Source organism: Homo sapiens, chromosome 19, assembly GCF_000001405.40.
Source record: "Homo sapiens chromosome 19, GRCh38.p14 Primary Assembly".
NCBI classification, from domain to species: Eukaryota; Metazoa; Chordata; class Mammalia; order Primates; family Hominidae; genus Homo; species Homo sapiens.
The window spans coordinates 35,926,469-35,947,066 of NC_000019.10; the positions used below are offsets into that span (position 1 = coordinate 35,926,469).

The 20,598-nt window shown below is 53.2% G+C and overlaps 1 protein-coding gene across 1 annotated transcript, besides 2 other annotated features; it reads left to right on the plus strand.

Annotated features, from left to right (window-relative positions):
* Positions 5,125-5,344: an enhancer, noted in NCBI's record as "active region_14508". NCBI's record gives its function as "activates an Ori minimal core promoter by ATAC-STARR-seq in GM12878 lymphoblastoid cells {active_cell/tissue: GM12878}" and the evidence as "EXISTENCE:reporter gene assay evidence [ECO:0000049][PMID:35858748]".
* Positions 5,355-5,444: an enhancer, noted in NCBI's record as "active region_14509". NCBI's record gives its function as "activates an Ori minimal core promoter by ATAC-STARR-seq in GM12878 lymphoblastoid cells {active_cell/tissue: GM12878}" and the evidence as "EXISTENCE:reporter gene assay evidence [ECO:0000049][PMID:35858748]".
* LRFN3 (leucine rich repeat and fibronectin type III domain containing 3) lies at positions 9,906-20,156 on the plus strand. Its single transcript, NM_024509.2, has 3 exons — positions 9,906-11,087; positions 12,942-14,372; positions 18,080-20,156. Exons 2-3 carry the CDS (start codon positions 12,958-12,960, stop codon positions 18,549-18,551), a joined length of 1,887 nt encoding a protein of 628 aa, NP_078785.1. The 5' UTR covers positions 9,906-11,087; positions 12,942-12,957; the 3' UTR covers positions 18,552-20,156.
* The last annotated feature ends 442 nt before the right edge of the window (positions 20,157-20,598 follow it).

Genomic DNA, 20,598 nt, shown 5'->3' on the forward strand with positions numbered 1-20,598 from the left:
TCTAACTGCTAGGTTCAAGTGATCCTCCTGCCTCAGCCTTCTGAGTAGCTGGGACTATAGGCACAGGCCACCACACCCAGGTATTTCTATTTATTTTATTTATTTATTTATTCATTTTGTAGAGACAGGATTTCACTATGTTGCCCCGGCTGGTCTCCAACTCCTGGCCTCGAGTGATCCTCCCACCTCAGCCTCCCAAAGTGCTGGGATTACAGGCATGAGCCACCGCGCCCAGGCTGCAAATCCCAATGAAGAGGAAGAACAGGATGCGGGACATGCCATGCAGAGAATGAAAGGTGGGTGCTGTGTGAACGTGGGTACAAGGAAGTTAGGCTTTCACTGGGGTGGCACAATGGCAGCTCTGAGGCAAAGGCATCAGAGCAAAAGAGAAGGAAAAGAGGGAGCCTGCCCTGCAAAGATCTGGGAGAACCGTGCTCCCAGAAGAGGAATGGCTATCACAAAGACCCAAGGCAGGAAAGAGCTGGGAGTGCCTGAGGAACAGGGAGAAGGTTGAGCAAAAAGAGCAGCAACATGGGGCAAAAAGAGCAGGATCATGGGGAGATGATACGAGGATGGAGAAGTTGCTGTGGTCACAGGAGCCATGGGCAGGAGTTTGTGCAACCAGTTTGTCCATTACCCGATGCACACAGCAAATCAAGACAGCCAGTTGCAGCTGAGAAAGAGGATTAGTTGTAGGGTCAACAAATAACAACATGGGAGAGAAGCTCAAATTCATCTCCCTCAGGAATCTGGAGCAAGGATTTTTTTTTTTTTTTTTTTTTTTTGAGATGGAGTCTCACTCTGTCGCCAAGGCTGGAGTGCAGTGGCGCCATCTCAGCTCACTGCAAGCTCCGCTTCCTGGGTTCACGCCATTCTCCTGCCTCAGCCTCCCGAGCAGCTGGGACCACAGGCGCCTGCCACCACGCCCGGCTAATTTTTTTGTATCTTTAGTAGAGACGGGGTTTCACCGTGTTAGCCAGGATGGTCTCCATCTCCTGACATTGTGATCTGCCCGTCTCGGCCTCCCAAAGTGCTGGGATCACAGGCGTGAGCCACCACGTGGGGCAAGGATTTTTAAGGATTTGGGGGTGAGACAAAGTGTGGATATCATTGTTGGAAGACTGCCGGGTGAAGTTTAGGGACATGGAGAGGAAGAAGCAGTATTCTCATACTACTGGCAGTCCTCTGTGGGGGTCTTCACATTGGTTGCTGGAATTTGGGGGTCTGATAAACAACTCAAGTGATCTTTTTTAAAAAAGCCTTAAGATTCTAATGTCAGAGATCCTGCCTGTGGGAACAATGGAGATGCAAGTCAATTAAATGATCTTATGACCCTAATGTCAGACATCCTATCTATAGGCCAGGCACAGTGGCTCACCCCTGTAATCCCAGCACTTTGGGAGGCCGAGGCAGGTGGATCACCTGAGGTCAGGAGTTTGAGACCAGCCTGGACAACATGGTGAAACCCCGTCTCTACTAAAAATACAAAAATTAGCTGGGCGTGGTGGCAGATGCCTGTAATGTCAGCTACTCAGAAGGCTGAGGCAGGAGAATCGCTTGAACCCGGGAACGAGAGGTTGTAGTGAGCTGACATCATGCCACTGCGCTCCAGCCTAGGCAACAAGAGCAAAACTCTGTCAGAAAGAAAGGAGAGGAGAGGAGAGGAGAGGAGAGGAGAGGAGAGGAGAGGAGAGGAGAGGAAAGGAAGAGAAAGAAAGAAATCCTATCTATAGGAACAATGGGGGTCTAGTACCACCTGACTTTTAGCAACAAGGAAGTGGACCAAAGTGCAACCTGATTATGTTTAATTATAACTACATTTCTGGGGCTCGATGGCTCACGCCTGTAATCCCAGCACTTTGGGAGGCTGAGGCGGGCGGATCTTTTGAGGTCAGGAGTTTGAGACCAGCCTGGCCAACATGGTGAAACCCCGTCTCTACTAAAAATACAAAAATTAGCCAGGCGTGGTGGTGGGCACCTGTAATCCCAGCTACTCGGGAGGCTGAGGCAGGAGGATCACTTGTACCTGGGAGTTGGAGGTTGCAGTAAGCGGAGATTGCACTACTGCACTTCAGCCTGGGTGACAGAGTGAGACTCAAAAAAAAAAAAAAAGACAGACAGGCATGGTCGGCTTGTTAACATGCAGACTGCTGGGTCCCCCAGAGATTCTGGTTCAGTAGATCTAGAACAACAGAGAATTTGAATTTCTGACAAATTGTCATGTGATGCTAATGCTGCTGGCAGAGGTCACACTTTGAAAACCACTGGTCTAGAAAAACACCTTTTTTTTTTTTGAGACAGGGTCTTGTTGTCTCACCCACGCTGCAGTGCAGTGGTGCAGTCACGGCTCACTGTAGCCTCAATCTCCCGGGCTCAAGTGATCATCCTGCTTCACCCTTCTGAGTAGCTGGGACTACAGGGTGCACCATCCCACCTGGCTAATTTTTTAAAGATTTTTTTTTTAATATGTGGGGTCTCACTAAGTTGCCCAGGCTGGTGTCAAATTCCCAGACTCAAGCGATCCTCCTGTCTGAGACTCCCAAAGTGCTAGGATCACAGCTGTGAGCCACTGTGTCCAGCCACAAGTGAAAGTAAGTTAATAAAATATGTCACTTGAATTTAATTATTTTGCTAATAATTAATAGATATGCTGGGCATGGTGGCTCACATCTGTAATCCCTGCACTTTGGGATGCCGAGCCGGGTGGATCACCTGAGGCTGGGAGTTTGAGACCAGCCTGACCAACATGGAGAAACCTCGTCTCTACTAAAAATACAGAAAATTAGCCGGGCGTGGTGGCACATGCCTGTAATCCCAGCTATTCGGGAGGCTGAGGCAGAAGAATCGCTTGAACCCAGGAGGCGGAGGTTGCGGTGAGCCGAGATTGTGCCATTGCACTCCAGCCTGGGCAACAAGAGTGAAACTCTGTCTCAAAATAATAATAATAACAATAATAAATAGATAATATTTATATAAACATATCCAAAATACTATTTCAACATGTTATCAATATTTTATAAATGACTGAGCTACTTTTTTTTTTTTCTTTTTATTTGAGACCGAGTTTCTCTGTAGCCCAGGCTGGAGTGCAGTGGCATGATCTCAGCTCACTGCAACCTCTGCCTCCCGGGTTCAAGTTATTCTCCTGCCTCAGCCTCCTGAGTAGCTGGGATTACAGGTACATGCCATCACACCCAGCTAATTTTTGTATTTTCAGTAGAGTCAGGGTTTCACCATGTTGGCCAGGCTAGTCTCGAACTCCTGACCTCAAACGATCCACCCGCTTTGGCCTCCCAAAGTGCTAGGATCACAGGCATGAGCCGCCCCACCCGGCTTACATTCTTTTTTCCTATTAAGTCTTCGAAATCCCTGTGTATATTTTATATTTGCAACACATCACAATTAGGACTTGTCTTCAATAGCCACATGTGTGACTAGTGGCTACCATACTGGACAGCACAGGACAGGCCTGGAATGGTGGCCACTGTTGCGGGGATAGTGAGTTGAAGGTGGAGACTTGCCTCTTGAATTTAGCAACGAGGATGAGCTTTGGCAATAAAAAGTTTCATTTTTGTGAAATGGAGAGAGAGAGAGTATATGAACACTTCCTTCCTGAAGTTTGGGTGTGGTTTTAACACCAATAGAGAGATCTGGCTAACAAAACTCAAAACCAACACCAGATATTAGCAGCACAAAAAAAGACAACCACATATTATGTCCCTTCTGATAGGAGATCTTAATATTATCCCTGAAGTATACTTAACCCCAAACTGAATGTGTATCTGACTCAGCCTCTAGATCTACCAGTTTGCAAGACATACAGAGGATGGCAGAACATATTAAAGGACACCAAGAGGGGAAACCAGTCAAATCAGACTGAGAAGAGATTATTTATAGGTGGATAGTGTCAAAAAGAAAGGAAAAAATTAAAATTTGTAAAAAACAAAAAAAAAAATCACACTTTGGGAGGCCGAGGCAGGAGGATCGCTTGAGCTGAAGAGTTTGAGACCAGCCTGGGCAACACAGTGAGACCCTGTCTCTATTAAAAAAAAAAAAAGTATAAAATTTTGGCCAGGTGCGGTGGCTCACACCTGTAATCCTAGCACTTTGGGAGGTCAAGGCCAGAGAATCACCTGAGGTCAGGAGTTCGAGACCAGCCTGGCCAACATGGTGAAACCCTGGTGCAGTGGCCCATGCCTGTAATCCCAGCTACTCAGGAGGCTGAGGCAGGGGAATCGCTTGAACCTGGGAGGTGGAGGTTGCAGTGAGTTGAGATCGTGCTATTGCACTCCAGCCTGGGTGACAAAAGAGAGATTCCATCTTAAAAAAAAAAAAAAGTATAAAATTAAAAAATTAGACTGAGATGAATGAGAGGGAGAGGGAACAGTTATAAAATAGAAGACTTAAAGAGGTAACAAACAAATACAATGTACAATGCAGGCACCCTGGTCGGATTCTAATTTGAACAAGCCAACAGTTTAAAGACATTTCTATGACATTTAGGGAAATTTGGAGACAGGATGAATGTTAAGACACTACTAAGGATTTGTTGGTTTTTTAGGTGCGATAAAAATGTTATAGTAATGTTTTTTTAAGAACCTTATATTTTAGAGATACATAATGGATGAAATCATGTGATGTCTGGGATTTGCTTTAAACTAACTTTGGGGGAGGTGGAATAAATAAAACAAGATTGGCCATATGTTGATAATTGTTGAAGCTGGGTGATGGGTACTTAGAGGATCATTACATTATTCTATTTCTGTGTACGACTGAACATTAATAAGGCTTTAAAAGGGGGACTGCTGTGAAAAAGAGAAAAAAGTAGGGAAATTGTGTGTTTTTTCCCCCCAGGATCGAAGCGCCTTTAACAGGCTCCACAGCTGACAAGGACGTTGGGATGCAAGAGAGTGAGAAGGCGCCAGGGTGGCTGCAGGGCACATTCAATAGTCGGTCTAGCTCTTGCTCCCGCGGCTGCCTTCTCTGCAGCTCTGGAGGCTGCAGCTTCTGGTCCTGGACCGGGACTTAGGTCCACACCCACGTGCTGACGTCGGGCAGGCTCAGCGGCCTCCCGCGCCTGCGCAGCACCGCCCTTTTCGGGCGCGGCGCCCAGTCCCTACACCCCACAATCCCCCGCGCCGTTCCGGAGGCGCGCTAGGAGTGGGTGTGGCCTCTGCCTCCACATTGGAACAAGGTGAGGCAGAGGGTGTCGCGTGGTCTTCTGGGAAATGTAGTTCGTCTGCCAGGCCGGAACCACCGCTCAACCGGCTCGCGAGACTATGCACCCCACAATGCGCCGCGCGCGCAGCGGCTAAGCGATGCGTTGCTGCCTCCACGTGGTGGCTGAGTGATCATGCTCCGGTTTGGGAATGGGGCCCAGAAGGGTAGGGTTAGGGGCGGGGACGGTGCTGGGGATGCTGAGGGTCGCCCTGGAAACCTCTGGGAAGATTTTCCAGAGGGTAAGTCCCCTGAACCTGGCCCACGAAAGGGTAGTAGTAATGAAGAAATTGGAGGTGGGGCCCGCTATGAGGACCGAATGACAGAGCAGCACCTGTTGGCTGCATATGATAATCAGGCTACTGTTACACCTAAGACTCACACAGTAGGCACTTCCTAGGCCACTTACCGCTCCCTGCGCTTCAGGTATCTTAGCCCATTCAATCCTCCCAGCCACCATTCGAGATATTATCAGCCCTCCTTTCTAGGAGTGAAGCTGAAGCCCAGAAACGCGAATCACTTGCTCAAAGTTATTCAACATGTCAGTGGCAGAGCTGGGATTTGAACTAGGCTGTCGGGCTACCAAGTCTGGGCTCTTCTTCATAGGAATATCTCATCACCCTATTCAGTTATCCTAAAATTGTAATTAGCACATGAATCAAGTCAAGATGGTCATTAACATGTGAATCTCTTTGAGTCGCTGATTACCAGCGCTTGTTCCTGCCCAAATTTGTGACTTAGACCTGCTTCAGGACAAAGTTGACAATCAACATAGATTTATAGTTAGCACATGAATCAGCACAGGTTTCTGTTCACAGGGATCAGATTTCTGATTAGCACTTGAATCAGCAGTGGTTTGTGTCAACAGCTGGAGTCTTTAGGTTCCTGATTTGCACAGGGATCTCCATCCAGGGATTATTTTCTTGCCTAAATAGGCCTGTTCCTTTATGTCCAGGTGACCTTCTCTTCAAATGTTGTCCCAGCTGGGTGCAGTGGCTCACGCCTGTAATCCCAACACTTTGGGAGGCTGAGGCGGGAAGATTGCTTGGGTCTGGGAGTTTGAGACCAACCTGGGCAACATAGCGAGACCCCGTGTCTCCATGAAAAATAAAACAATTAGCCTGGCATGGTGGCATGCTCCTGTAGTCCCAGCTACTTGAGAGGCTGAGGTGGGAGGATCCCTTCAGCCCAGGAGTTTGAGGCTGCAGGGAGCTATGATCATGCCACTGCATGGCAGCCTCAGCGACAAAGCAAGACCATTTCTCTTAAAGAAAAAAAAAAAAGGGCGGGCACAGTGGTTCATGCCTGTAATCCCAGCACTGTAATCCCAGGTTGAGGTGGGCGGATCAACTGAGGTCAGGAGTTCGAGACCAGTCTGGCCAACATGGTGAAAACCCATCTGTACTAAAAATTTTTTTAAAAATGGCCAGGCACAGTGGCTCACGCCTGTAATCCCAGCACTTTGGGAGGCTGGGGTGGGTGGATCATCTGAGGTCAGGAGTTTGAGACCAGCCTGGCCTACATGGTGAAACCCCATCTCTACTAAAAATACAAAAATTAGCAGGGCATGGTGGCACGTGCCTGTAATCCCAGCTACTCGGGAGGCTGAGGCAGAAGAATCGCTTGAATCCGGGTGGCGGAGGTTGTAGTGAGCCAAGATCATGCCACTGCACTCCAGCCTGGGTGACAGAGCGAGACTCCGTCTCAAAATAAAAATCAGCCAAGCGTGGTGGTGCATGCCTGTAATCCCAGCTACTCAGGAGGCTGAGGCAGGAGAATAGCTTGAACCCAAGAGGTGGAGGTTGCAGTGAGCCGAGATCATGCCACTGCACTCCAGCCTGGGCGACAGAGCAGGACTCTGTCTTTAAAAAAAAAAGAGATGGGGGCTGGGCGCAGTGGCTCACACCTGTAATCCCAGCACTTTGGGAGGCCGAGGTGGGGGTATCACCTGAGGTCAGGAGTTCAAGACCAGCCTTGCCAACATGGTGAAACCCCATCTCTACTAAAAATACAAAAATTAGCCGGGCATGGTGGCACATGCCTGTAATCCCAGCTACTCGGGAGGCTGAGGCAGAAGAATCGCTTGAATCCGGGCGGCGGAGGTTGTAGTGAGCAAAGATCACGCCACTGCACTCCAGCCTGGGTGACAGAGTGAGACTCCGTCTCAAAATAAAAATCAGCCAAGCGTGGTGGTGCATGCCTGTAATCCCAGCTACTCGGGAGGCTGAGGCAGGAGAATAGCTTGAACCCAGGAGGTGGAGATTGCAGTGAGCCGAGATCATGCCACTGCACTCCAGCCTGGGCGACAGAGCAGGACTCTGTCTTAAAAAAAAAGAGATGGGGGCTGGGCGCAGTGGCTCACACCTGTAATCCCAGCACTTTGGGAGGCCGAGGTGGGGGGTATCACCTGAGGTCAGGAGTTCAAGACCAGCCTTGCCAACATGGCGAAACCCCATCTCTACTAAAAATACAAAAATTAGCTAGGCATGGTGGTAGGTGCCTGTTATCCCAGCTACTTGGGAGGCTGAGGCAGGAGAATCACTTGAACCAAGGAGGCAGAGGTTGCAGTGAGCCAAGATTATGCCACTGCACTACAACCTGGGCAACAAAGTAAGACTCTGTCTAAAAAAATAAATAAATAAATAGGCCGGACACTGTGGCTCACGCCTGTAATCCCAGCACTTTAGGAGGCCGAGGCGGGCAGATCACGAGGTCAGGAGATCAAGACCATCCTGGCTAACATGGTGAAACCCTGTCTCTAATAAAAATACCAAAAAAATTAGCTGGGCATGGTGGCAGACGCCTCTAGTCCCAGCTACTCGGGAGGCTGAGGCAGGAGAATGGCGTGAACCCGGGAGGTGGAGCTTGCGGTGAGCCAAGATCACACCACTGCACTCCAGCCTGGGCAACAGAGCTAGACTCTGTCTCAAAAATAAATAAATAAATAAAATAATAATAAAATGGGGTTATTTGTTTTTTGCTTGTTGCATTGTTTAAGTCCCTTATAGACTGAATTCCTCTTTATGTCTCTAAATACATTTGTCTCTTTGGTACACATCTGCGGTGCTACATGCCCTCAACCCACCAGGTTTTAGCATAGCTGTTGTGGTAGACAGTTCCGTGTGCAGTGCAGATAGCCCTGGTTCAGCCCAGCTGTTCTCAAAATGTGGTCCCTGACCAGGTGTAGTGGCTCACACCTGTAATCACAACACTTTGGGAGGCCTGGGAGGGAGGATTGCCTGAGGCCAAGAGTTCAAGACCAGCCTGGGCAGCATATTGAGACCCTGTCTCTACAAGAAATTTTAAAAATTAGCTGGATATGGCGATGCATGCCTGTAGTCTCAGTTACTCTGGAGCCTGAGGTGGGAGGATTGCTTGAGCCCAGGAATTTGAGGTTGCAGTCAATTATGATTGCACCAATGTACTGGGTGACAAAGCAAGACCCTGTCTCAAAAAAAAAAGTATGGTCTTTGAAAAGTCACATTAGCATCACCTGGGTACTCGTTAAAAATGCAAATGTTTGGGTCCCACCTCAGACCCACTGAACCAGAAACTCTGAGGTTGGGACCTGGAGATCTATGGTGCCCCCGGGTGATCCTGGTGGGCTGCACTGCAAGGACACCTGGCCTGGCTCCTGCAAGGCAAGGCATCCCTCTCTGCTTTTCTTTCTTTCTTTCTTTCTTTTAAAGACAGAGTCTCACTCTGTCACCCAGGCTGGAGTGCAATGGCTGGATCTCAGATCACTACAATCTCCACCTCCCGGGTTCAAGCAATTCTCTTGCCTCAGCCTCCCGAGTAGCTGGGATTACGGGCGTCCGCCACCACACCCGGCTAATTTTTGTATTTTTAGTAGAGACGGGGTTTCTCCATGTTGGCCAGGCTGGTCTCCAACGCCTGATCTCAAAAGATCCGCCCGCCTTGGCCTCCCAACGAGCCGGGATTACAGGCGTGAGCCACCGCCCCCGGCTGTCAGTGTGTCTTGAGGTCTTTCCCTAATCCCAGATGGCACAAGTTTTCCCTCTTGCAGGCAGAGAAAGGAGCCTTGGGAAGGAGCCCCTCTGGCCTGAAAGATCAAGCCTATTGCTGGGCATGGCCAGGTAAGGAAACTCCAACCGTGGAAAGGACATTCCAGGGAGGTGGTGCTGAGATAAGGGGGGCAGAAAGAGACAGGTTTGGGGGGCCAGTGGCTCTGGAATGAAGCGCTACACTCAAGGCTAGGAATAGTTACTGAATGCACATACACACATACCATTCTCACAGCCCAGGTGCTGCGTCTTAGAGCGTGTGAGTGTGTATGTGTGTGTCTGTGTGTGCGCGCGCACGCACGTCTCTATCTCTGTTTCTGTCTTTCTCTGACTTGTCCTTATCTCTTGTCTCTCCATCACTCTCTGTGTCTCGCTGTCTCTGTGCATTTCCATGTCTCGAATATGTGTGTGTTTCAATCTGTCTCTCTGCCTCTTTCCATTTTCTCCTCTCTATCCATCAATCTAAGCCTGCCCATCTTTTTGTCTGCCTTTCTGTATCTCCGTTCTTCTCTGTCTCTCTGTCTCAGTCTCTCTGTATCCAGGGATTCTCTTTCCCAGCAGCGCCAGTGCGACTCCATGGGAGGTGGGGCCGGGGCGCGTCTTTGAGAGAAGGGGCGGGTGCCTACGCCTTTAAGCGCGGGTGCGCGCGGAGCCTGCGCCTTTAAGCGCCGGTGCGCGCGCTGCCCTGGGTTGCCGGCGAGGAGGCCGCGGGAGCGCCTGGACCCGGCCCGCCCAGCCCGGCCCCCGCCCGGCCCCCGCCTCGGCCCCGGCGGGGGAGGGGTCTCTGAGCGCGGCCCCTCCCCCCTGCGCCCCCGCCTGCGCTGCGGTGCCCCCATCCCGCGTGTCCCAGTCTGTCTGACCGTCCCTCCGCTCCCAGGCCTCGCCCCACCCGGCCCTGGGGCTGCCCGGTCGCCCCCCTCCCCACCGCAGCCGGTCCCCTCCCTCCCAGTCAGCCTCCGCCGCAGCCCAGGAAGCCAGCCGGGACGCCGCCGCCCCGGACCCCGCGCCCTAACCTCCACCTCGGGGGCCTGCACCCCCAGATTGAATCGGGAATTCCGGAAACCCGAGCCTGGAACCCTGATCTGGGACCAGCACCCCGAGATCCGGCCGTGGAACCCCAAGATCTGGAGCCTGAACCCCAGTATATGGGGCTGGAATCTCAACATCGGTCACTGGGACCTCAATATTTGGAGCCGGAACCCCACAATTTGGAACACAGACCCCAATATTTGGAGCAGAACCCCAAGATTTGACATCTAAAACCTCAAGCCTGGAGCTGAACTCTGAATTCTGGGCCTGGGACCTTGAAATCTGGGACTGGATTTCCAGTACTGTACCCTGGAACCCACTCTTGGGGACCTGAACCCTGGGATTCAGGCCTCAAATTCCAAGATCTGGACTGTGGGATTCCAAGGGGCCTGAACCCGAGTTTGGGCCTGAAGTCCTTGCTGCAGACCTGAGTGCTTAAATCTGGGGCTTGAGACCTCCCAATCTTGACTCAGCACCCCAATATCTGAATGCAGAACCCCGGGATCGGATCTCAGACTCTAAACCCCACCGTTTGGCTGCTTAGCATCCCAAGACTGGACCTGGGAGACCCTGACCCTGAACAACCCAAACTGGACCCGTAAAACTGGACCCTAGAGGCCCAATATTTAGGGGTCTGGAACCCCGAGTATTAAGGTCTGGAGACTCCGTTGCCACAGATTTGAGCCGAGTCAGGACACAGTCCCTCTACAGAAGCCTTGGGGACAGGAAAAGCATGACCAGATGCTCCCTCCAGAGCCCTGACCTCTGACTCCCCTGGAGCTAGGACTCTGCTCCCTGGGGCTGCTTCTAGCTCAGGTAAGGCTGCTGAAACCTCAAGGTGGGGACGGGCTGGGAGGAGCATTGTGGCTGCGGGTTACGGTACCAGGTACCCTTTGACACTCTTGGGGTTTCTCCAGAAAAAAAGACATTCCCCCATGGGTCTGCCTTCAGCTCCTGCTCTGCTCCAAACACTCTCTGGACACTGGCCATCCTTGCCCCTCTCTGACCTTCCCTGCCTCAGTTGATGGGACCTCCAGGTCTCTGACCCCTGCAACCCTTACAGCCTTTCGCTGTCTATCCGGTCCGACCGTCTCCGCCACCTCTCTTGTCCACCACTCCTCTCTCTGGGCTCCTTTCTCCACCTGTCCTCTCAATGGCCATCTCTGTTCCCTTTTTCTCTCTCTGATCATCTTTGTGACACCCCTGTCCACAGGTCCTCTCTCCAGTCGCCTCTGCCTGCTGCTTCTCAGTGACCATCGCTGACATCTGTGTCCACTGTGCCTCTCTCTAATCATCATTCACCAGCTCTCTTGCTCCTTCTCCACCCCTGAATCTAAGCCTAGGTCTGTGACCGTCCCCATCCATCTTTGACATTGCTGTCCACCACTCTTCTCTCCAGCAGCCTCTGTCCATCTCTCCTCTCTAGCTTCCTCTGGCCACCTTTCCCTTTCTCTGGCCATCTCTCCCACTGCTCTTGCCCTCCTCCCACCCCTGACCCTAACTCCCAGTCTGCAACTGTCTGACCATCTCTGGCCACCTCTCCTCTCTCTCTCACTCACTGATGCCCTCTGATCATCTCTGGCCACCTCTTCTCTCTCTCTCACTCATTGATGCCCTCTTGATCATCTCTGGCCACCTCTTCTCTCTTTCTCACTCACTGATGCCCTCTTGATCATCTCTGCCCACCTCTTTTCTCTCGCTCGCTGATGCCCTCTGATCATCTCTGGCCACCTCTTCTCTCTCTCTCACTCACTGATGCCCTCTGATAATCTCTGGCCACCTCTCCTCTCTCACTTGCTGATGCCCTCTGATCATCTCGAACATCTCTGCTGCCTTTCCTCTCTCCGATGACCTCTCCCCGCACCATCCTCCTGAGCAGCTGTCCTGGGCTCCCACTGACTCTGCCATGTCTGTCCTTTTCCTCCTCTCTGACCACCTTGCTGGCTTTGGGCCGTTTCTGACCACGTGTCTCTGACATGGTCATCTCCCCCAGATCTGAGCCCAACCCATGCCCTCCCTTCTCTTTGTCCACTGCTCATCTTCCTGACCATCTGTAACCCCTTCTCTTCTCTGGTCATATCTGACCACTTCTGATCATTGTTGCCACCCTGGCTGCCCCGTCTCCCCATGGCCAGCTTTTACCATCTCTGACCACGTCTAAAGCCCTCTGGTTTTCCTGCCACTCACCCAGACCAGCTGTCATTTCTCTGACCATTTCTTTACTTTTTTCTTTTGGAGAGACAGAGTCACGCTCTGTTGCCCAGGCTGGAGTGTGGTGGCGCAATCATAGCTCACTGCAGCCTCAAATTCTTGGGCTCAAATTGATCCTCCCACCTCAGTGTCCCATGTAGCTAGGACCACAGGTGGGCGCCACCATGCCTAGCTAATTTTTAAAAATTTTTGTATAATAGATACACGGTCTCACTTTGTTGCCCAGGCTGGTCTTGAACTCCTGGCCTCAAGCCATCCTCCTGCCTCAGCCTCCCCAAATGCTGGGATTACATGTGTGAGCCACCGCGCCTGGCCTTCCTCTGGCTTTTGGTCACATCTGACGGTCTTTGACCAGCCCTTCTGCCCTCAGCCCACTGTGACCTTCTCTCCTGGTCTCAGACCACCCCCAGCCCCTGCAGAACCCCTCTTCTGCCCTCACGCCTCCCCTCTTCTCCGCAGGACACCCCTGCCCGCGATGGCCATCCTCCCGTTGCTCCTGTGCCTGCTGCCGCTGGCCCCTGCCTCATCCCCACCCCAGTCAGCCACACCCAGCCCATGTCCCCGCCGCTGCCGCTGCCAGACACAGTCGCTGCCCCTAAGCGTGCTGTGCCCAGGGGCAGGCCTCCTGTTCGTGCCACCCTCGCTGGACCGCCGGGCAGCCGAGCTGCGGCTGGCAGACAACTTCATCGCCTCCGTGCGCCGCCGCGACCTGGCCAACATGACAGGCCTGCTGCATCTGAGCCTGTCGCGGAACACCATCCGCCACGTGGCTGCCGGCGCCTTCGCCGACCTGCGGGCCCTGCGTGCCCTGCACCTGGATGGCAACCGGCTGACCTCACTGGGCGAGGGCCAGCTGCGCGGCCTGGTCAACTTGCGCCACCTCATCCTCAGCAACAACCAGCTGGCAGCGCTGGCGGCCGGCGCCCTGGATGATTGTGCCGAGACACTGGAGGACCTCGACCTCTCCTACAACAACCTCGAGCAGCTGCCCTGGGAGGCCCTGGGCCGCCTGGGCAACGTCAACACGTTGGGCCTCGACCACAACCTGCTGGCTTCTGTGCCCGCCGGCGCTTTTTCCCGCCTGCACAAGCTGGCCCGGCTGGACATGACCTCCAACCGCCTGACCACAATCCCACCCGACCCACTCTTCTCCCGCCTGCCCCTGCTCGCCAGGCCCCGGGGCTCGCCCGCCTCTGCCCTGGTGCTGGCCTTTGGCGGGAACCCCCTGCACTGCAACTGCGAGCTGGTGTGGCTGCGTCGCCTGGCGCGGGAGGACGACCTCGAGGCCTGCGCGTCCCCACCTGCTCTGGGCGGCCGCTACTTCTGGGCGGTGGGCGAGGAGGAGTTTGTCTGCGAGCCGCCCGTGGTGACTCACCGCTCACCACCTCTGGCTGTGCCCGCAGGTCGGCCGGCTGCCCTGCGCTGCCGGGCAGTGGGGGACCCAGAGCCCCGTGTGCGTTGGGTGTCACCCCAGGGCCGGCTGCTAGGCAACTCAAGCCGTGCCCGCGCCTTCCCCAATGGGACGCTGGAGCTGCTGGTCACCGAGCCGGGTGATGGTGGCATCTTCACCTGCATTGCGGCCAATGCAGCTGGCGAGGCCACAGCTGCTGTGGAGCTGACTGTGGGTCCCCCACCACCTCCTCAGCTAGCCAACAGCACCAGCTGTGACCCCCCGCGGGACGGGGATCCTGATGCTCTCACCCCACCCTCCGCTGCCTCTGCTTCTGCCAAGGTGGCCGACACTGGGCCCCCTACCGACCGTGGCGTCCAGGTGACTGAGCACGGGGCCACAGCTGCTCTTGTCCAGTGGCCGGATCAGCGGCCTATCCCGGGCATCCGCATGTACCAGATCCAGTACAACAGCTCGGCTGATGACATCCTCGTCTACAGGTGCAGGGTCCAGGCACTGGGGTAGCTTGGGTGGGGGAGTGAGGCAAGGGGAGGGTTGAGGGTACACCTACTAATACCCTACACCGAAGCACAACTGATAAGTGATGCTGGAAGGTTCCAAAAGAAATCAGAGAGCAAAAGTAAAAGAAATCAGGCAGCAAGGATAACAAGACTCTGGCAGAAAGGGTCAATGAAATCTGACAGCAGTGATAAAAAGAAGTCAGACAAGAAGGACGAAGTAAATGAGACAGCAAATGTTAAAATATATCAGGCTACAGGGCTAAAAAAGATCAAGCAATAAGGATAAACGAAATCAGGCTGCATGAGTAAAAAGAAATTAGGCAGCAAGAATAAATAGTAGTAGCAAACATAAAAAGGAAACCAGGCAGCGGGAGGAGAAAGTAATCAGGGCAGAAGAATAAAATGTTAATGGGCAAGGGTGGGTGGGGAAGATAAGGGGATAAAAATAAATTTAAGTTGTAAAGATAAAGAGAGAAACACCAGGTTTTCCAGATGACAGGACTAGATACTAGCTGGGCTGCAGGAAGAAAAGGAGATCAAACAGGAAAGCACAGGGAGCCCAGAAACAATGAAATAAGCAGCTCTGTTAGAAAAAGAAATCAGACCAGAGGTTAGAAGGAAATTGCAGGGAGGAGGTTCGATAGAGACTGGGCTTCGGTGTGTGTGGTGTGAACTATTCCATGTTTCAAGTTCTAATATAGTGACATCCAGATTTTTTTTTTTTTGAGACAGGGTCTCACTTTGTCGCCCAGGCTGGAGTGCAGTGGTGCAATCTCGGCTCACTACAACCTCCACTTCCCGGGTTCAAGCGATTCTTGTGCCTCAGCCTCTCGAGTAGCTGGGATTACAGACGTGCACCAGCACGCCCAGCTAATGTTTGCATTTTATTTTTAGTGGAGACGGGGTTTTGCCATGTTGGCCAGGCTGGTCTAGAAGTCCTGACCTCAGGTGATCCACCTGCCTCAGCCTCCCAAAGTGCTGGGATTACAGGCGTGAACCACCACACCCAGTGTAGATTTTTTCTTTTCTTTTTTTTTTTGAGACGGAGTCTCACTCTGTTGCCCAGGCTGGAGTGCAGTGGCACAATCTTGACTCACTGCAAGCTCCGCCTCCCAGGTTCATGCCATTCTCCTGCCTCAGCCTCCCGAGTAGCTGGGACTACAGGCGCCCGTCACCATGCCCGGCTAATTTTTTGTATTTCTAGTAGAGATGGGGTTTCACCATGTTAGCCAGGATGGTCTCGATCTCCTGACATCGTGATCCACCCGCCTCGGCCTCCCAAAGTGCTAGGATTACAGGCCTGAGCCACCGCGCCCGACAGATTTTTTATTTTCTAAATCAAATCAAACCTAGTTCAAGTTCCTTTTGCCAGGTAAACAGAAATATCCAGTTTGCCACACTTGTGGGGGATTCTCTTCTCTCTCCTGTTGTTGCAAACACAGAACCTGGGGTTTACACACTCCAAGAGGTGGCTCAGTCCAACTTGTTCCCCCAAGCTGGAGAGCACTCAGCACATCTGCAGTGACCGCATGTGGTCAGCAGTGGTGGCTGCTGACCTAGGTGCTGTTGACACCTCTTACCAAAGTCCAACCTTGCATGGATGGACTGCGGCTGTGGGTGAGTCCCTGTCCTCACGGCCAGGCTGGGCCAAGGGTGCAGCCCCAAGGCTGACTGTAAAGACTGGACCTCCCCAGGGTTGAGGACTGTTCCTTGGGGACCTAGTAGTACCTGGATGTCCTTTCCCTCCCTTGGGGCCAACACCTCAAGAAAAGGCCACTTGATTTCCATTTCAGTCCTGGCAACCCACTGAGCTCATTCTACTCCCTTTCTCAGACATGACTCGGAAGATTGCACGGAAGTCCTGCCCCTGAAAATCACACAAGTCGGCCAGGCGCGGTGGCTTAACCCCTATAATCCCAGCACTTTGGGAGGCCGAGGCAGGTGGATCACCAGGTCAGGAGTTTGAGACCATCCTGGCTAACACGGTGAAACCTCGTCTCTACTAAAAATACAAAAAATTAGCTGAGTGTGGTGGCACGCGCCTGTAGTCCCAGCTACTCAGGAGGCTGAGGCAGGAGAATTGCTTGAACCTGGGAGGCGGAGGTTGCAGTGAGCCGAGGCTGTGCCACTGCACTCCAGCCTGGGTGACAGAGTGAGACTCCGTCTCAAAAAAAAAAAAAAAAAGTCACACAAGTCCTGGCCACCTTGCCAGGTGGGGAATGGGATGAATGCTGTCCTAGACAGTCACCCTGCCCCAGGCGGCCACGGAGTTCCCTGTACCTCTCTCATTAGAATAGCCTAGGAATAAAACAGGTGATAAGTCAACTCTCCAACAGGGTGCCCAACTACAAAAGAAACTATAGTGAAATTGGGTGGTAAGGATTAAAAGGAAACAAGAAAGAAAAAGATAAATAGAAACCAGCCAACAGAGATAAAAGAGAAGCAGGTGACAGAGCCGGAAAGAAATAAGGCAACAGGGAGAAAAAGAAAGCAGTAGTGACGGAGGCACATTAGTTTAATGAAAAGGGAATCAGACGACAGGACTCATTGGAAAACAGGCTATCAATACAGTCATCATAATAAGGCAATAGGGCTAGGGGGACATTTATTGGCAGGTTACAAGGAAATCGGGCAACAGGGGTACAGGGAGATCAGGTGGTTTGATTGGAGAGAATCCTAGCTGTACACTAGAGGAAAATCAGGCAGCTGGAAAAGGGAAATTTGGCATAGGCTGCAGGAAATAGGGGAACCAGAGGGAAATTGGCAAGCGTCTGGAGGAGACTGGGAGGTAAAATGTGGGGGAAATTGGATGGGGGTGGCTAGAAGACAAAAGGATTAAATTAGATGGAAATTGGACAGGGTTAGAGCAGAATTGGGTGGTGAACTGGAGAGATGACTGGCAGTGGGACCAGAGTGAAATCAGGCAGAGGATTGGGGCAAAATTGGGCAGGGAGGCTAGAGCGGAGCTGGGCTGCAGGCTGGAGGGAAATTGAGTGGGCAGTGCAAAAGGGAAATTGGGCAGTTGGGTATAAAATGAAACCGGCAAGGTGTGGTGGCTCACGCCTGTAATCCCAACACTTAAGGAGGCCAAGGCAGGAGGCTGGACTGCCTTGAGGCCAGGAGTTTGAGACCAGCCTGGGCAATATAGCAAGAGCCTGTCTCTACAAAAAATTTAAAAATTAGCTGGGCATGGTAGTGCACACCTGTAGTTCCTGCTACTCAGGAGGCTGAGGCCGGAGGATGGCTTGAGTCCAGGAGTCAGAGGCTGCAGTGAGCTGTGATCATGCCACTGCACTCCAGCTTGGGCAACAGAGCAAGACCCTGTCTATAAGAAAACAGAAAGAAAGAAAGAAAAGAAACAGGATGGATTGGAAGAACTCACGTGGTGAGCTGTTAGAGAAATTGGGTGGTGGGACTAGAGTGAAAATGGGCAGCAGGCTATGAGGACGTGTGAGAGGGTGGGCTAGAGTGAAATTGGCCAACAGACTGGAGGGGTATCAGTCAGGTGGCTGAATGGGATGTCAGACCAAAGGGAATTGGGATGTTGGTGAGAGGGAGCTCATTGGGTAGAATGAAATGAAGGAGTGGACTGGTGGGAAGTCTAGCCCCGCAGGGAGTTTGGTGGGGGAAGCACAGGTTGGGGGCTGGGCAGCCTGAGACCTGACCCCCACCTGCCTGCCCTGCAGGATGATCCCGGCGGAGAGCCGCTCGTTCCTGCTGACGGACCTGGCGTCAGGCCGGACCTACGATCTGTGCGTGCTCGCCGTGTATGAGGACAGCGCCACGGGGCTCACGGCCACGCGGCCTGTGGGCTGCGCCCGCTTCTCCACCGAACCTGCGCTGCGGCCATGCGGGGCGCCGCACGCTCCCTTCCTGGGCGGCACGATGATCATCGCGCTGGGCGGCGTCATCGTAGCCTCGGTACTGGTCTTCATCTTCGTGCTGCTAATGCGCTACAAGGTGCACGGCGGCCAGCCCCCCGGCAAGGCCAAGATTCCCGCGCCTGTTAGCAGCGTTTGCTCCCAGACCAACGGCGCCCTGGGCCCCACGCCCACGCCCGCCCCGCCCGCCCCGGAGCCCGCGGCGCTCAGGGCCCACACCGTGGTCCAGCTGGACTGCGAGCCCTGGGGGCCCGGCCACGAACCTGTGGGACCCTAGCCAGGCGCCCCCCCCTCTAAGGGTCCTCTGGCCCCACGGACAGCAGGACCCGGACACCCTGTGGGACCTGGCCTCAAACTCACCAAATCGCTCATGGTTTTTAAAACTCTGATGGGGAGGGTGTCGGGGACACCGGGGCAAAACAAGAAAGTCCTATTTTTCCAAGCTTGGGCGAAGACCCTTGCCCTCGTCTCTGTCTATGGGGGTTGGGGGACGGAGCAGGGGTCTGGAGCTGGGGAATGCCTCCTTTGGGGAGACACCCCCTCCCCGCCCAGTTCAGTCTGAGGACCCCGGAGGAGGCTGAGGATGGCGATCCATTCAGACAATAGATGTTCCCTGCGTGTCGGCTCTGAGCATGCCCTGGGTTGGGGGATGCTGTGGTGATCCAGATAGCCCTGAGCCCTGCCCGCAGGGGCCTAAAGTCAAATGGGAGACAGACACATCCCCAGACAGTGATAGCACAGAGTGACCAGGGATGTGGGGATGAGGGAAGCCTGGGGGATTGTGACAGTCCAGAAGAGGTACCCTTGCTCAGCCCCAGGTGTGGTCAGGGAGGGCTTCCTGGAGGAGGACACATGTGATCTGAGAATGACATATGAAGGAGATAACTGGGCAAAGAGCAGAAGGAAAGCTCTTTCAGGCAGAGGGCACAGCACAAGCAAGGTGGTGGTGTGCCCTGGGCACTGGGGGTGCTATGGTAGAGGTGAGGCAGGAGGGTTGAGCAGGGTCTAGGACCTCCAGGCTGAGGAGCTCAGACTCTGGCCTGATGATACCAGGGAGCCATGGAGGGTTGTATGCAAGGGAGGAATGGGGTCAGTTTGGGGCTTCAGGAAGATCCTTCTAGTGCTATGAGTAGGGTGGACCCAAGGGGAAGACTGAAGCTGGGAGCCCCAGGGGAAGCTGGGGCAGGGACCTGGGTGGGTGAGGACGAAGTTGGACCAGCTGGGCTAGGGAACAAGAAAAGGGAGTGGGTTGACAGAGACACTCGGGAAACTGTGGGAAGCTGAGGCGGTGGGTTATGGAGCTGCGGGGCCATGGGGTGGGGCAGGAAGATGGTGGGGACTGCCCTCATATAGGACCAGGGAGGAGGAGCAGGTTTGGGAAAGATGATATGGCCAGTGGGGAACTTGGTAGGTGTAGGGGGCCCTGAGGATGTCCAGGATGTGGCATTCAGGAGGGTGCAGGACCCCTGGTCTGAGGCTGAAGCTGGAAATAGAAATGAGGGCTTTGTCAGCAGAGATGGGAACTGACGCTGCTGGGGTTAAGACGGCTTCTTGTGGGGGATGATTCCAAGTCCCCACTATGGGACATTTTTTCTTTTTTCTTTTTTTTTTTTACAGATGGGGTCTCACTATATTGCCCAGGCTGATCCCAAACTGGCCTCAAGTGATCCTCCCGTCTCAGCCTCCTGAATTGCTGGGATTACAGGCATGAGCCACTGCCCCTGGCTAGGGACTTTCCATATTTAAGGGTGACGCAAAGAAAAACCTAACCAAGACTAAACAGGACCAGCAGGCAGAGGGACAGGGGGAAGAAGACCAAGCAATTCAGACCCAAGAAACTCTTGTGTTCAATGATATAAATAAAGGCTGCGGTGACCCCCCAGAGAGCAGTGTTAGGGGGTCAGTTGGGGCAGATGGCAGATTCAGCTGATTTGAGAGGAGGGGGTAAGAAAATGTAGCTAGAGGGTGCAGCCCCTGTCAACCTGTGGGCCTGGAGTCCCATGTCTTTGCAGGGTGGGTCCTTACTCTGTCTTGGGCAGCCCTAGGCCCCATGAGACACCAAGCCTGGAGGTTTGCAGAACCAAACCCCGGTCTAGGAGATGTTGAGCCTCCTTGGAGATCCAGGAACGGGGTTGGCAGTAAGAGGAATAGCACCCCCTGAACTCAGGGCTTCACTAATGATGTCCCCAGAGGCAGGAGAGTGGAGGGAAGCTGGGTCCTGTCACCTGGAGGGACACTGGTGTGAGGGCATGGTAAAGAGAGCCCAAGACTGAACTGGCCCTTTTCATGACCTGGGGCACATGATTGTGACCTCGTGGGATGAC